Below are 12132 nucleotides of genomic sequence, written 5' to 3' on the forward strand. Positions count from 1 at the left end.
TCCCCTCCCCAGCACTCCCATCTCCCTGTTTTCTGGGGATTTAAATCAGCTTTGACTTGGGTCTGAAAGTAACCCGTGACAGCAGTAAGCCTCTCGATCTGTTGTTTGCAGTGTTTCAGCTAAAATATTATAAACAGACCACCAAACTGTGTTTGGTCCAAGGCCAAGCCCCTCCCTCCCTACTTGAACACTTGATTACCTGCTGCAGGGTTGCGTCTTGAGCTCCGAGGAGGAAACTGTTTATTTCAGGGCTGTTAGAGTGCAGTGCAGGAATCCAGGAGAATTTATTGTATTGTTACCATCTGGTTTCATGGAGTCTGTTTCTTTTGATTTTAATTGTGCCCTCTGGAGAGAAAGATCCTCGAAATGGTGGAAAAAGAAGATACCACCTTCCTCCCTGCCCTGCCCATGCCCTGGCACACACATTGCTATGGTGCATGGTGGGCATGGCTGAACCAAGTCCCCTTATTCTTTGAACATCTTTGCGTATTATTCCTGCTCCCCCAGCCGTCTCCAGGCCCCAGTCTCCTCTGGAGGGATTTCCCAGATGGCTTCCAGGCCAGAGCCTGACAGGAGAGATAGGACCTGCCTCCACGGTAACAAATGGCTGAAGGCGGTTTGGGGTGTTGCCAGTAGCCTGCCCTTCCGCAGTGGCTAAGGATCCGGTGTTGCGGTGATACATGATGTGACCTCTTCAACCAGTGAGTCACTCACCCCCAGATAACCACCCGGTACTTTCAGGGGAAACCGTTGTATCATTGTGGCTGTGGCCATGGTTTCTCCAAAATAAGGTGTTTTTAGAAATGAAAGTACAGGGATTGGTTTCCTTAGATTCATTGTCATGGATTCATAGTTCCCCAACCTTTTTCACGTAAAGACTCACCTCTGTTTCCTCTTAAATTGTACATTTGGTGTCTGTTTTATATATTAATAATAACTGACACTCTTCTAAAGTTTTTTGGGGAAAGAAAACATAAGTTTACCAAGCTCTCAATTCTAGAAGGTAATAGCCTTCTAGAATTGTCCATTTGCATAAGCATTTTTATGCTTATTGCTGTAATCAGTGTGTCAGTCAAACGGGAAGGAGGAACTACATCAGGTATTTAGCACAAAGGGAATTTAATACGGGACCTTGGTTACACAGGTGATAAAGCAGCTGAGAAGCCACAATGGGAAGGTGAGGTGACCCAGAACTTGGAGGAAGCCGCTGCCTTTAGGCTGGAGGGACAAAGGGAACAGGTGGTGTTCCCAGAGCCCAGGGTTGGGGTCACCAGTGGGCCTGTCTAGAGCAGTTGCAGCTGCTTCTAAAATTGCCGACCCAAGGTAGAAAAGGAGAGAGGGGAGAAACACTGTGGCCTCTCCCTCCCTCCTACCCACTACTTGCTGTGAGAGCCTCCTATTATTTAAACCCTGCTGGAGGCCTCCTGATCTGGAGCCTGGAAAGTCAGGGCTCAGCCCCAGGGAGGACACAGCAGAGCACAGGAAGATGAGGGATGGATCAGAGGGCAAACTGGACTTGGACCAGCACAGGGTGCAAGCCTGATGCTCTAATTTTATATTTTATCAGCATTTTCTTATATGTGGCTTTCATAATTACACATATTTTATCAAGTAGATGAACCGCATTTAACCATTCCCCAGCTGTTAGGTGAACACTTTAAATTACTATAAATCAGCAGTTCTCAAAGTGTGGCCCTGGGCCAGCAGCGTCAGCATCACCAGGGAACTTACTAGGAATGCAGAGTCTCAGGCCCCGCCCCCAGGCCTCTTGGATCAGAAACCCTGAGGGCGGTCCCAGCAGTCTGAATTTTGTACACTCTCCGAGGGCTGCTGATGTGCATTTGAGCTTGACAATCATGATTATAGGCAATGATGCACCGTGTGGAAGCTGGGGGCAGGATACTGAGGAGGGTGCTGGGGGTAGGAGTGGTGGAGGGAGTTTGTCCAGGGGAATGTGGTGTAGCGGAAAAGGCACAGGACTGGTAGGGCTGTGCCCCTTTAGGCCCAAGCCTGCCCTTGCTCTTAACCTCTTAATGGGTTTCTTCTTTCTTCTGTTAAACAGCTAAAAATATCAAATCATGGGGTTGCTGTGACGGTTAAATGTAATAACAGGCACGATGTTCCATATATGTTGGGTCTTCTGGAGCTTTGGGGAAGGAGGTGTGGCAATAACAGCCAGCTTCTGCATCATGGAAAATGGCCCCCATGCCCATCCCTGAGTTGTGTGGTCTGAAAATCAATGATGAACACTTAGGAGGCTTGTAGCCTGCTTTGAGTCAACAGGAAGACTGGACTTGAGAGTTTGGAATCTATAGTCTAACTTCCCTTCCTCACCCTGTCTTTGTAAATGGTGCTCATCTAACCCTACAGTTACTATCTTTTCACTCATGTCTAGCCACTTGTTAGAGGGGAAGGAACCCTGGTGTCAGGACAGGACTCCTGGCTCCCTGAGCTTGCTGTGTATTCCGGGGCATATCCTTAACCTCTCTGAGATGTACTTTTCTTATCTGTAAAACCTCTATGTTGATGCAAATCAGGTGCGATGATGGACGCAAAAACTGCCTTGAACACCTTAGCGGGCCTGTGAATATAAAGCCTTCAGGATCCACACCTCTGCCAGGGCCCACACCAGCCTCGCCACCTCGGTGAGCCTCTCATTCCACTGCCAGTGCAGGGGTGCATAATCAGGATTTGCCAGTGGAGGTAGGAAGGGTGGCTGGATTGTGACTGTCACGCTCCTGGCATCAGATGATACTGGTAGCAAGCTAGGGTCGTCTGTGCACTTTGCTCTCTCTCAGTCTTCCCAGCAGCCCTGTCAAGCGGGGAGTCTAGCAAGAAGTGGCCAAGGCGCAGATCATTTAAGAGGAAGGATGTGAGCAAACTGGATCCCAAGGGGACAGACAGAGGCCCACTTTGCCTCAGAGTCCAGAGAGCTGCTGCTGCTAAGAAGGGAAAGAGGAACTGGGTCGGGGTGCCTGCTGACTTGCAGCGCTGTGTTGGCATGCGAGGTAGCACTGGTTGGGAGGCGGTTACCTGAAGGAAGCAAAGGCAGCTGGTGGTTCCTATCTTCTTGCCTCTGGCAGCACCTAAAAGAAGCCTCTTGGGCCAATGAGAGGATGGACTGTCCCCCACCTGCAGAGTTCTGTGAAGTGGTGCGGACGTCTTTGTTGATCTCATTTGGTGCCTCCCCCTGTTGATGGCTGAGGAAGCCAAGGCTCTGAGAAGGCACATGGTTTACCCGAGGGGACACAGGCAAGGAATCTGAACCCGGATTGCATTTTCTGTTTTAGGGCTCTTTGTGTGACCACGGTGCTTCCCAGGCCCACACTTCCAGTGTTCCAGGCCCTTGACCACCAATCCTGTGGAGGGGTCCTCAGGGCAGGCAGTGGGACCACCTGAGGCCTGCGTGGGGTGGCCTGTGGTGTGAGGGACCCAGGAAGTCAGCCTGCACCTCGGCGAGTCAGAAGATGTGGCCATCCACCAACCATCAGATGTTCCCCTACGCTTAGGGCTGTGACCAGAAGTGGCATCAAGATGGGAGGCGAAGCTTCTGGGACCAGAGAACCAGCTGCTCCTGTTCATCCTGCTTTTGGGTGAATAGCTGATGCTCTGGGCCCCTCATCCCACCATCCCACCCCGTGGCTCCTCCTGAGCAGGGCTGAGGGCATTTACCTGGCTGCCTTCTAAAGCAGACTTGGCACGAGACAATCTTATTCAAACTCTGCTCAAAATTGCTACCCTGAGGAGAGGGCTGTGACCAGGCAGGACGGGGTGTGATAACATGGAACGCAGGGCCTGCTGGAGCAGGCCCTGATGAGTGTAAATAACTGTGTTAGAGGCAGGACCTGAGCTTTTCACTCCATAAATATATATTACTTCTAATGTGGCCAGGGCCGAGCTGAAGATCATAATTATGTGAGATCTGCTTTACAGGCATTTAGGGAAATGCGTGGGGCTGCACTGATGTAGGCAAAGATGTGGCCACATACATTTAACGTGTCTCAGAGGAGCCTTTGCTTTAACCCTTTAATCAGACCCTTCCAGGGTGCTCCTGACTTGATGTTCCAGAGCGTTTGGAGTCAAGAGTTGCACTCTTTTTTCTTGCATTAAATGCACTTGAGTTTTAACCCAGTCTCTGGGCGGATGGCAGGGCTGCATGAGGGGGTCTCCGTGGATGTGGATAAGTCCAGAGAAGTCAGCTGAGCTGACTGGGCAGGTCTTGGGTAAGTCACGCCACTTCCCTGAGCCTCAGTTTCTCCAGCAGTAAAATGTTACCTGTCTGTTAGGGTTGTAAGATTGAGTCAACATATGTACAAGGCATTGCTTAGTGTTTACCACCTTGCTGTGAGCTGGTAAATGGTTGGTTGGTCCCTTCCTCTCCCCTTGGTGTTAAGCATATCAAAAGATGGCTGCGTGCTCACCTCCCCTGCTTTACTGGGTGGACAAAGGAGCTGTCACACAGTGTGGCAGCCTTAGAAAGGTTAAAGAAGGCCAGTGAAGTCTTCTGGCTCATCTGGTCCTGAGGTGGGTGAGCATTAAACCCAGATCCTTTTTGTGTTTCAGTATTGGATCCTTTGGCCGTCATATCTGAGACCCAGGGCCTCAGAGTGTGGGGTCCTAACCTAATTTGGCTTTGGGTGAACTGGCCAGCAAATGGAAGGATGGCTGTGGAAGTGTGTCTTGAGCCTGTCCTTACACAGGTGTGGCTGTCATCAAGGCCATCTTCATGGGCACGTGACGAGTACAGTCACATAGAGTTCATGCTCAGGAGGGCCCTATGCTTGGTTTAATGCTCTGCTGTCACCAGCTTGAAATCCTTTTTTTTTTTGTTATTGTTGCCCAAGCTGGAGTGCAATGGCTCAATATCGGCTCTCTGTAACCTCTGCCTGCGGGTTCAAGTGATTCTCCTGCTTCAGCCTCCCGAGTAGCTGGGATTACAGGCACCTGCCACCACACCCAGCTAATTTTTGTATTTCTTTTAGTAGACGTGGGGTTTCACCATGTTGGCGAGGCTGGTCTCGAACTCCTGACCTCAGGTGATCCAGCCTTGGGCTCCCAAAGTGCTGGGATTACAGGTGTAAACCACTGCATCCGGCCCATCTTGAAATTCTTAATAATTTTCTCTTTGACCTAGTGTTTTGGAGCATGAGCATGGATAGAGGAGATGTGGGCAGCATGTGCCCATTGAGCCTTCTGCCCCATTCACATGTAGCATTTGAGCACAGACTTCTGCCGGACCTACAATGTGGGGGAGTTGAGTGAGAGTCAAAGTGAGTGTGAGATGTCACATCTGCGACTGAGTAGCAGGGGCCCTGACAGTCCTGATGCTTTCCATCTAACTGGAACTTGTCTTGGTTGTAGAAAGAAGGCGATGACATTCTAAGAAACATCAACGACCAAAGAACCCCATCATATCCTTTATTACTCACGTCACTTCCCTGACACCAACCACTTATATTGAAAATGATGACGGAAGAAGGGAAAGGAAAGATAGGGCACCCATATTGCCTTTTCCTTTCAGATCTTCCTTACTCCTCAGGCAGCATAAAGAGTGAGGTAGAATGGACACATAGCGAGAAGTGAAGTAAAAACGATTGAGTTAGCTTTATGGATGTTTCTCTGGTTCTGGTACATCACAAAATGCACATCCAAGTCCTAAAATACAATTCATGTAATGTTGGTGATTCCACATACTAGTTAAAGGCTTTTTATATTTGCAGTTAAAACTGGCATCACACAATATAAATAGGAGTGGTAAAATTCATGCTAATTCATGTAATTTAAAATTTTAATGTTGCTTTACTTAGAATAATATTAAATAGCAAATTAAAAATACCATGACACATCAAGAGAGAGACTGTGGAGGAAAGAGAAAAAGCTTTCTATTTTAGTACCATGATTGATACTTTTTTTTTTTTTGCCTTTTGCACAAAGGGTTCCATATTTTCATTTTGCACTGGGCCCCACAAATTATGCAGCCAACCCTGACTGGCATCCTGGGGCTGGAGGTCTCAGGCTGGTCTTGCACGTGCAGCCTCTAGATCCCTGGTCTGCTCACATTGTCTCCTGGGTTGCGGAGCTAAGAAGCATCATATAGGCAAGTGAGCATGTGTGCTTGCTCTGAAGATTCCAAGCTTCCAGGTGGTGGTGGCTCTGTTGATAGAGATAAAAAGTTGAGGAATTTCAGAGGCTACAAACATACTCTTGTTGAAGGTGCTTTGGGGGTCTCCTGAGCATTTACTTTTGTGAATTTTTGGGCAGCCTAGTATAGAGGTGATCCAGCAGTAAGCTGAGAGAGAGGCCCTAGTTTGACTCTTAACTCAGGCATGGTCTCCTTGGGTGAGTCATTTCTTCATCAGGCAGTCCTCAGTCTTTTGGTTGCAGTGTAGTTGTTAAAAATGTGGGTACTTGGAGGCTGAATTCTTGGGTCAAATCTTATCTCCATCTCTCTGTCCTTTTTTTGTGGTTTTTTTTGTTTGTTTGTTTTTTGTTTTTGTAGGGGACAGGTTCTTCCTCCACCACTCAGGCTGGAAGGCAGTGGTATGATATTGGCACACTGCAGCCTTGACCTCCCAGCTCAAGCGATCTTCCCACCTCAGCCTCCTGAGTAGCTTGGGACTACAGGCACACATCTCTATGCTGGGCTAATTTTCATGTTTTTTTTGTTGTTGTTTTTTGTTGTTGTTTTTTGTAGAAACAGAGTTTCACTATGTTGCCCCAGGCTAGTCTCAAACTTGTGAGCTCAGGCTATCTGCCTGCCTCAGCCTCCCAAAGTGCCGGGATTACAGGTGTGAGCCACTGCGCCCGGCCTTATCTCCATCTCTTAACTAGTTGTTTGATGTTGGGCAGGTTGTTCAAGCCTCCTGGAGCCTTGGTTTACCCATCTATAAAATGGGTATAATGGTAATTATCTTATAGCATGGTCATGAGCGTGAAATGAGAGCAGGGGGAGGAGTAATCATTGTGTCTGGTCCATGGGACTGAATCAATGCTAGCAATGGTCATGATGGTGAAGAATGAGGGGAGGAGGAAGAAACAATTCCTGTGGGTGCTAGGACCAAAAGTAGTATCCTCTAGGAATCCTGGCCTTCAAGGTCTAACTTCCAAGATTCTGTGAGTACGATTCTAGGGAGCCTCTGCCTCAGACTTCTAAGTAGTTCTTCAGGCTGTGCTCTAGAAGTTACTGGAATGAAAGAAAAATTGTAGTGTTTGAAGGTCTTCAAGGATCCTGGTCCTCTCACACTGTCACTCTTAGTCACATGACCTTTGACTGTCCATTCCCTACTAAGCCTTGGTTTACGCATCTGTCAAATGGAGCATTCGTGGGTGTGCCTGCCTTAGAGGATGAGACCCAGCTGAGATGACATATGGAGAAATCGTTTATAAACTTAAGTACTGGTGTTAGGAAGAGCTAACACGGTGAGTCTTCAGTGTTTCTTTAAGTGCTGCTCACTACTGTCCTGAGAGACTCCAAGAAGCAGTTACTTTGTTTGGGCCTCAGTTCATCATCTGTGAGATGAGAGGATTGGGCTTTGTGCCTAAACTGCCCCCCCACCCCACCACCCAAGACAGATTAAAAAAGAAGGAAGGAGGGAGGGAGGGAGGGAGGGAGGGAGAGAGCGAGCGAGCAAGCAAGCAAGCAAGCCAGCAGGATTTGGAATCGTCCCCTAATTGGAACCACAATCGCAGGTTTCAGGGACTCAGGAAAGGGTGCAGCCCAGCTTGTGGTTGAGAAATGAATGTCAGATGTTAGGAAGAAAAAGGCCTATCTCAACATAGCAGGGGTTTCTTACTGCCCCTGCCTCCTCAGCCCCGGTAGCCTGTCACTCCCTGGCGAACAGCTTGGCAGCACAGAGGCAAACCACAGAGTACATTTGAGGCCCAGATCTGCTTATTTCGAGGGTGGGGCCGCGTTTTTCTCCTGCCACAGTGAGCTAATTAAAGAAAACAAGCTTCGGGAGTTGGGAGAGAACTGTCCACAGGACACTTGGGGAGGCTTGCTTTGGTTGTGGAGGCCTCCACAGCCCCCGGAAGGCAGGTGGAAGTGGGCATGGAGGGTCCTACGCATCCCCAGCGGGGGTCTGAGGGCCCACTGTTGCTCAGCTGGGGGATTTGGGGACGGTGGGAGGGCATACATGGATGGGAGGGTGGACTCCGTTCCTGAGGGGGCCAGTGTGGAGGAGGGTCAGGCAGCCCATGGAGATGGGACAGTGTTCTGAAATGCTTCACAAATGTGGACTTTTGCCCCAAACTGTGGACAGAGCGTATGTCCTGAGCGAGGATCAACTCTGTGAGTACCCATGATAATTCTCCTTTCTGTGGTTGCCGCCCTGTTGATTCATGTGTCAGCCTTAGAGAAAGTGGCTGTGACTTCTGCATTCCTGGGAATACACTGACATGAGAAGAAGTAGCCGCTCTTGTTCACAGTCACAGGGCTGGAAAGTGGGATAAGGACTAAGGACTTCTGTCTCTGGATTCAGCATGCTGATTATGGGGAAAAGCAGACATCAATTCCTCATGTCTTGTAAGCATCACTGTCCTCCAAAGTTGGAGCCCAGCTCAGACAGCTGCATAGTATTTTATAGAGAAGGTGTGTTGTTGAAATGTTGATTATGCAAATTGAATTGTGTTTTAAGACTACTGGGAAAACCATTTAAAGGAATCCTGTTGTAAGTCATTTTGAAAAATGGAGAATTACACCACCTCCCCAAGGATTTTCTGTTTTGGTAAATTTCATGTGGCAAGATTACTTGAAGAAGGGTTCCAGTGTTTTGCTAGCTTATAATGGTTACTGCATAAGGAAGGTTTACTCGCCAGAGGTCCGCATACATTGGAGAACTGGGGGAATATGTAATACTTGTGCAGAAATGTTTTGATTCATGTACTCAGAAGATGGGATCTGGATGACACCTCCAGCCTATTGATTCCCAAGTAAGGTGTGATGACACCACCACCAGCGAGGTGTGCTATGAGGAATTTTTGTTGATGATGAAAAGTGAATGCTAACTGATTGCACACCACGTGCCCCATACCTTACATAGATTATCTTATTTAATTGTTGCTAATAATAGTACTACAGTCTGTGAATGATTTACTTAGCAATTAATTCAAAAGCATATTCCACTCTACAATGGAATATTTTTTGAGCCAAGAAATGAAGTACGTGGCCGGGCGCAGTGGCTTGCGCCTGTAATCCCAGCACTTTGGGAGACCAAGGTGGGTGGGTCATTTGAGGTCAGGAGTTCAAGACCATCCTGACCAACATGGTGAAACCCCATCTCTACTAAAAATACAAAATTAGCCGGGCATGGTGCCACATGCCTGTAATCCCAGCTACTTGGGAGGCTGAGGCAGGAGAATTGCTTGAACCCAGGAGGCAGAGGTTGCAGTGAGCCGAGATCGCACCCTTGCACTCCAGCCTGGGCAACAAGAGCGAAACTCCATCTAAAAAAAAAAAAAAAAAAAAGGAATGAAGTATGTGCCACAACATGGGTGAATCTTGAAAACATTGTGCTGAGTTGAAGAATTCAGACATCAAAAGCCACATATCACATGATTCCATTCCCATGCAGTATCCCCATAGGCAAATTCACAGAGACAGAAAGCAGATTAGTAGTTGCCAGGGATGGAGGAGAGGGGAATGGGGAGTGACTGCTTCATGGATACAGGGTTTCCTTGAGGGATGTTCTGGAACAAAATAGTTGCGGTGGTTGTACAATATTGTGAATGAACTCAATGCCACCAAATTATACACATTAAAATGGCTAACATGGTAGATTTTTGCTGCATGTATTAATATATTAATGTATTAATAAATGTATTAATTACAATATTAATATATTGTGATATACTGTGATATATTGTGATAAATATATCAATATATTGTGATAAACATATAAATTGATTTTAATATATATTAAAATCAAATGTATTCCTCTAATGGTGTCCATGTCACTGACTTAGTTTCTGATAGGTTTGTATTGGGTAGGAAAGAAAGGAATGGGACATTTACGTGTACACTGAGGCAGAAGAAAGAATGGGACTTTCCAATCCAGGCTCTACCTTTATGAGGAACCAGAGACCCAGAGAGTGCTAGTGACTTGCTCAAGGGCACAGAGCAGCGTACCAGAGTTGAGCTTTGGCTTCTAGCCTCCTCACTTTCTATTGGGGAAGTCACAGTGGAAAAGGGGGTTTTGGCTCCTTTATGTCTTTGGGTATGTTCTGGGTCACTGAGGATCAGCTCTATTCCACCTGGCATTTTGTGCTTTCCATGGGTGCTCAGGAAACTGTCTGTCTCACCCTGAGGTGAGGCTCAGGAGGCTCTGGGGCTTTGTAGTAGAAATAGAAATATCCCAAGTCCTGGGTTGTGTCCTTGTGGATGTGTCTAGAACAATTCCTGTTGTGCTACTCGCTTTGGGCAGTTAGCGAAAGGGACTAATTGTGTGCAAATACATACGTTTGGTGTTTGTTGGGAGACTTGCCATGTGACACTGCTTCTTCTTTTCTTCTCTTTTTGACTATGAACACCTGACACTACAGGAAATAAGAAACTTTCCAGTACCTAATTTATGCTTACTCTACTTTCAAACCCTGTTGGCCCCAGCACAGGGTAAATGAAACTGTAGCTTATAGTAATATTTACGTATGGGAGTCAATGAGCTGTTTAAATACTTGGATGTCAGAAAAAGGTTTCAAATTTAGCAAGCCCCCTGACTCTCCCACCCTCTGGCATGTACTGGGTAGGCCTGCCTGCTCTCTGAGGTCGAGCTCTTGTATCCTGTCCTGGTCGGTGCCAGTATAGCAATGATGATGACAGTGATGATGATGCCACTGGAACAGGCTGAGCTGTAATTGAATTAAATATCTGTGTAATCCCTAGGAGAAGCTGAATAAGGTTTGAGGATCTTGGAAGTTCAGTTATACTCTCAGTAACTGAGGTGAGATCCGTAGGCAAGGAATGACAAGATCGAGATTGATTAGCTACATGACCTTAGGAAAGTGACCTAAAGGTTGTTCACATTCAGAGTCCTCATCTTTGAATGTGAATGATATTTCTGGCCTCTCCTATCTTATGGAGTTGGTGTAAGCATCTGCATGAGATGATGGACGTTAAAGTGCTTTGTTAGCTGTTGAGACTCTTACTGAAATGAAACCCAAGGATGGGTGCCACTGAAAGAAACAAGAATGAATGCAAACTAGTTTGTGTTGGGAGTTGTACTTGACACAGCTGAATTTGCCTTTGTCTTTAGGAGAGCCTTAGCTGTGGGAAGCAGGGCTTGGAATGCGCTGATATTTATTTCTTCCATCAAATCGGATTATGAGGCACCTGATCTGTTTAAGGCTGTGTGAGTAGAACCAGGTCCTGCCTTCCGGAAGTTCATGGTTAAATTGTGTTTTCATGGGTCACCTGGAAGGCGAGCTTGTTCAGAATGAGGATAATTGACCCAGTGAATCCTTCCTGCCTCGAGGCCCACCATGTTATTCAGATCAGTCTTGGGGGAAATGCTGTGAAAGTGTGTGTGTGTGTGTGTGTGCGGTGTGTGTGTGCATGCTCGCGTGCATGAGTTTGTGTTGAGAGAAAGAAAAAAGCCAGGAGAGTAGGATGAGTCAGATTTAACCACTGTTTTTTCCCTTTTGAAACTTGTTATGTTCATACACATACAGCAGTCATGCACTTGCTCAGAAATGTGTGAAAACCACTTAAAATGTGTGAAATGCAGCCCTTTAGAAAGTGTGCCTTCCACCACATTCTTTTGAGCAGTGGAGTGGATTTGTGAGTGTTCATATCTGTCCTCATCTGTGGGAATTGTATGTCCAAGGTGCTAATTCAGGGCCATACTGGGATGACCTGTGTGTATAGACTTGTCCTGGGTGAGATGGGAGCAAGACCATCCAATGTATGATGGGGAATTCTGTTAAACAGGTAGAATTCTGAACCTCTTGGTGGTCCTGGCTGGTCAGTTGCAGGGAGTGACGTTGAATGGACTGGGAAGATCTGGATATACCATGTTTCTGTAGGCATGATACGTGGTCCCTTAGCTTGGTATTTAAAGTTCTTTGGAAGTGACCGCTTTCTGGATTTACCTCTGTGCAGCCCCTCTGCTCCTCCCAGGTGAGGCTCATCATAGCTCC

General features: G+C 47.1%; 1 protein-coding gene across 5 annotated transcripts in view, besides 5 other annotated features; it reads left to right on the top strand.

Annotated features, from left to right (window-relative positions):
- Positions 1–12132, top strand: part of SMAD3 (SMAD family member 3) — a 129568-nt gene that overhangs the window by 25133 nt on the left and 92303 nt on the right. Inside the window, exon 1 of one of the 5 annotated variants that reach the window (NM_001407014.1) lies at positions 7945–8290. The exons of the other annotated variants lie outside the window; for them this stretch is intronic. Within the exon in view, the coding sequence (NP_001393943.1) occupies positions 8232–8290 (59 nt within the window). The 5' untranslated portion in view covers positions 7945–8231. Of the gene's footprint in view, positions 1–7944; positions 8291–12132 lie in introns of those variants that run through there. 5 annotated transcript variants of the gene reach the window in all.
- Positions 355–444: an enhancer, noted in NCBI's record as "active region_9621". NCBI's record gives its function as "activates an Ori minimal core promoter by ATAC-STARR-seq in GM12878 lymphoblastoid cells {active_cell/tissue: GM12878}" and the evidence as "EXISTENCE:reporter gene assay evidence [ECO:0000049][PMID:35858748]".
- Positions 3150–3920: an enhancer, noted in NCBI's record as "H3K27ac-H3K4me1 hESC enhancer chr15:67386222-67386992 (GRCh37/hg19 assembly coordinates)". NCBI's record gives its function as "activates a minimal SCP1, AML or CMV promoter by ChIP-STARR-seq in naive H9 embryonic stem cells {active_cell/tissue: H9 hESC(naive)}" and the evidence as "EXISTENCE:reporter gene assay evidence [ECO:0000049][PMID:30033119]".
- Positions 6236–6285: an enhancer, noted in NCBI's record as "active region_9622". NCBI's record gives its function as "activates an Ori minimal core promoter by ATAC-STARR-seq in GM12878 lymphoblastoid cells {active_cell/tissue: GM12878}" and the evidence as "EXISTENCE:reporter gene assay evidence [ECO:0000049][PMID:35858748]".
- Positions 7499–8000: an enhancer, noted in NCBI's record as "H3K4me1 hESC enhancer chr15:67390571-67391072 (GRCh37/hg19 assembly coordinates)". NCBI's record gives its function as "activates a minimal SCP1, AML or CMV promoter by ChIP-STARR-seq in primed H9 embryonic stem cells {active_cell/tissue: H9 hESC(primed)}" and the evidence as "EXISTENCE:reporter gene assay evidence [ECO:0000049][PMID:30033119]".
- Positions 10232–10381: an enhancer, noted in NCBI's record as "active region_9623". NCBI's record gives its function as "activates an Ori minimal core promoter by ATAC-STARR-seq in GM12878 lymphoblastoid cells {active_cell/tissue: GM12878}" and the evidence as "EXISTENCE:reporter gene assay evidence [ECO:0000049][PMID:35858748]".

Source organism: Homo sapiens, chromosome 15 (assembly GCF_000001405.40).
Source record: "Homo sapiens chromosome 15, GRCh38.p14 Primary Assembly".
Lineage (NCBI taxonomy): Eukaryota > Metazoa > Chordata > Mammalia > Primates > Hominidae > Homo > Homo sapiens.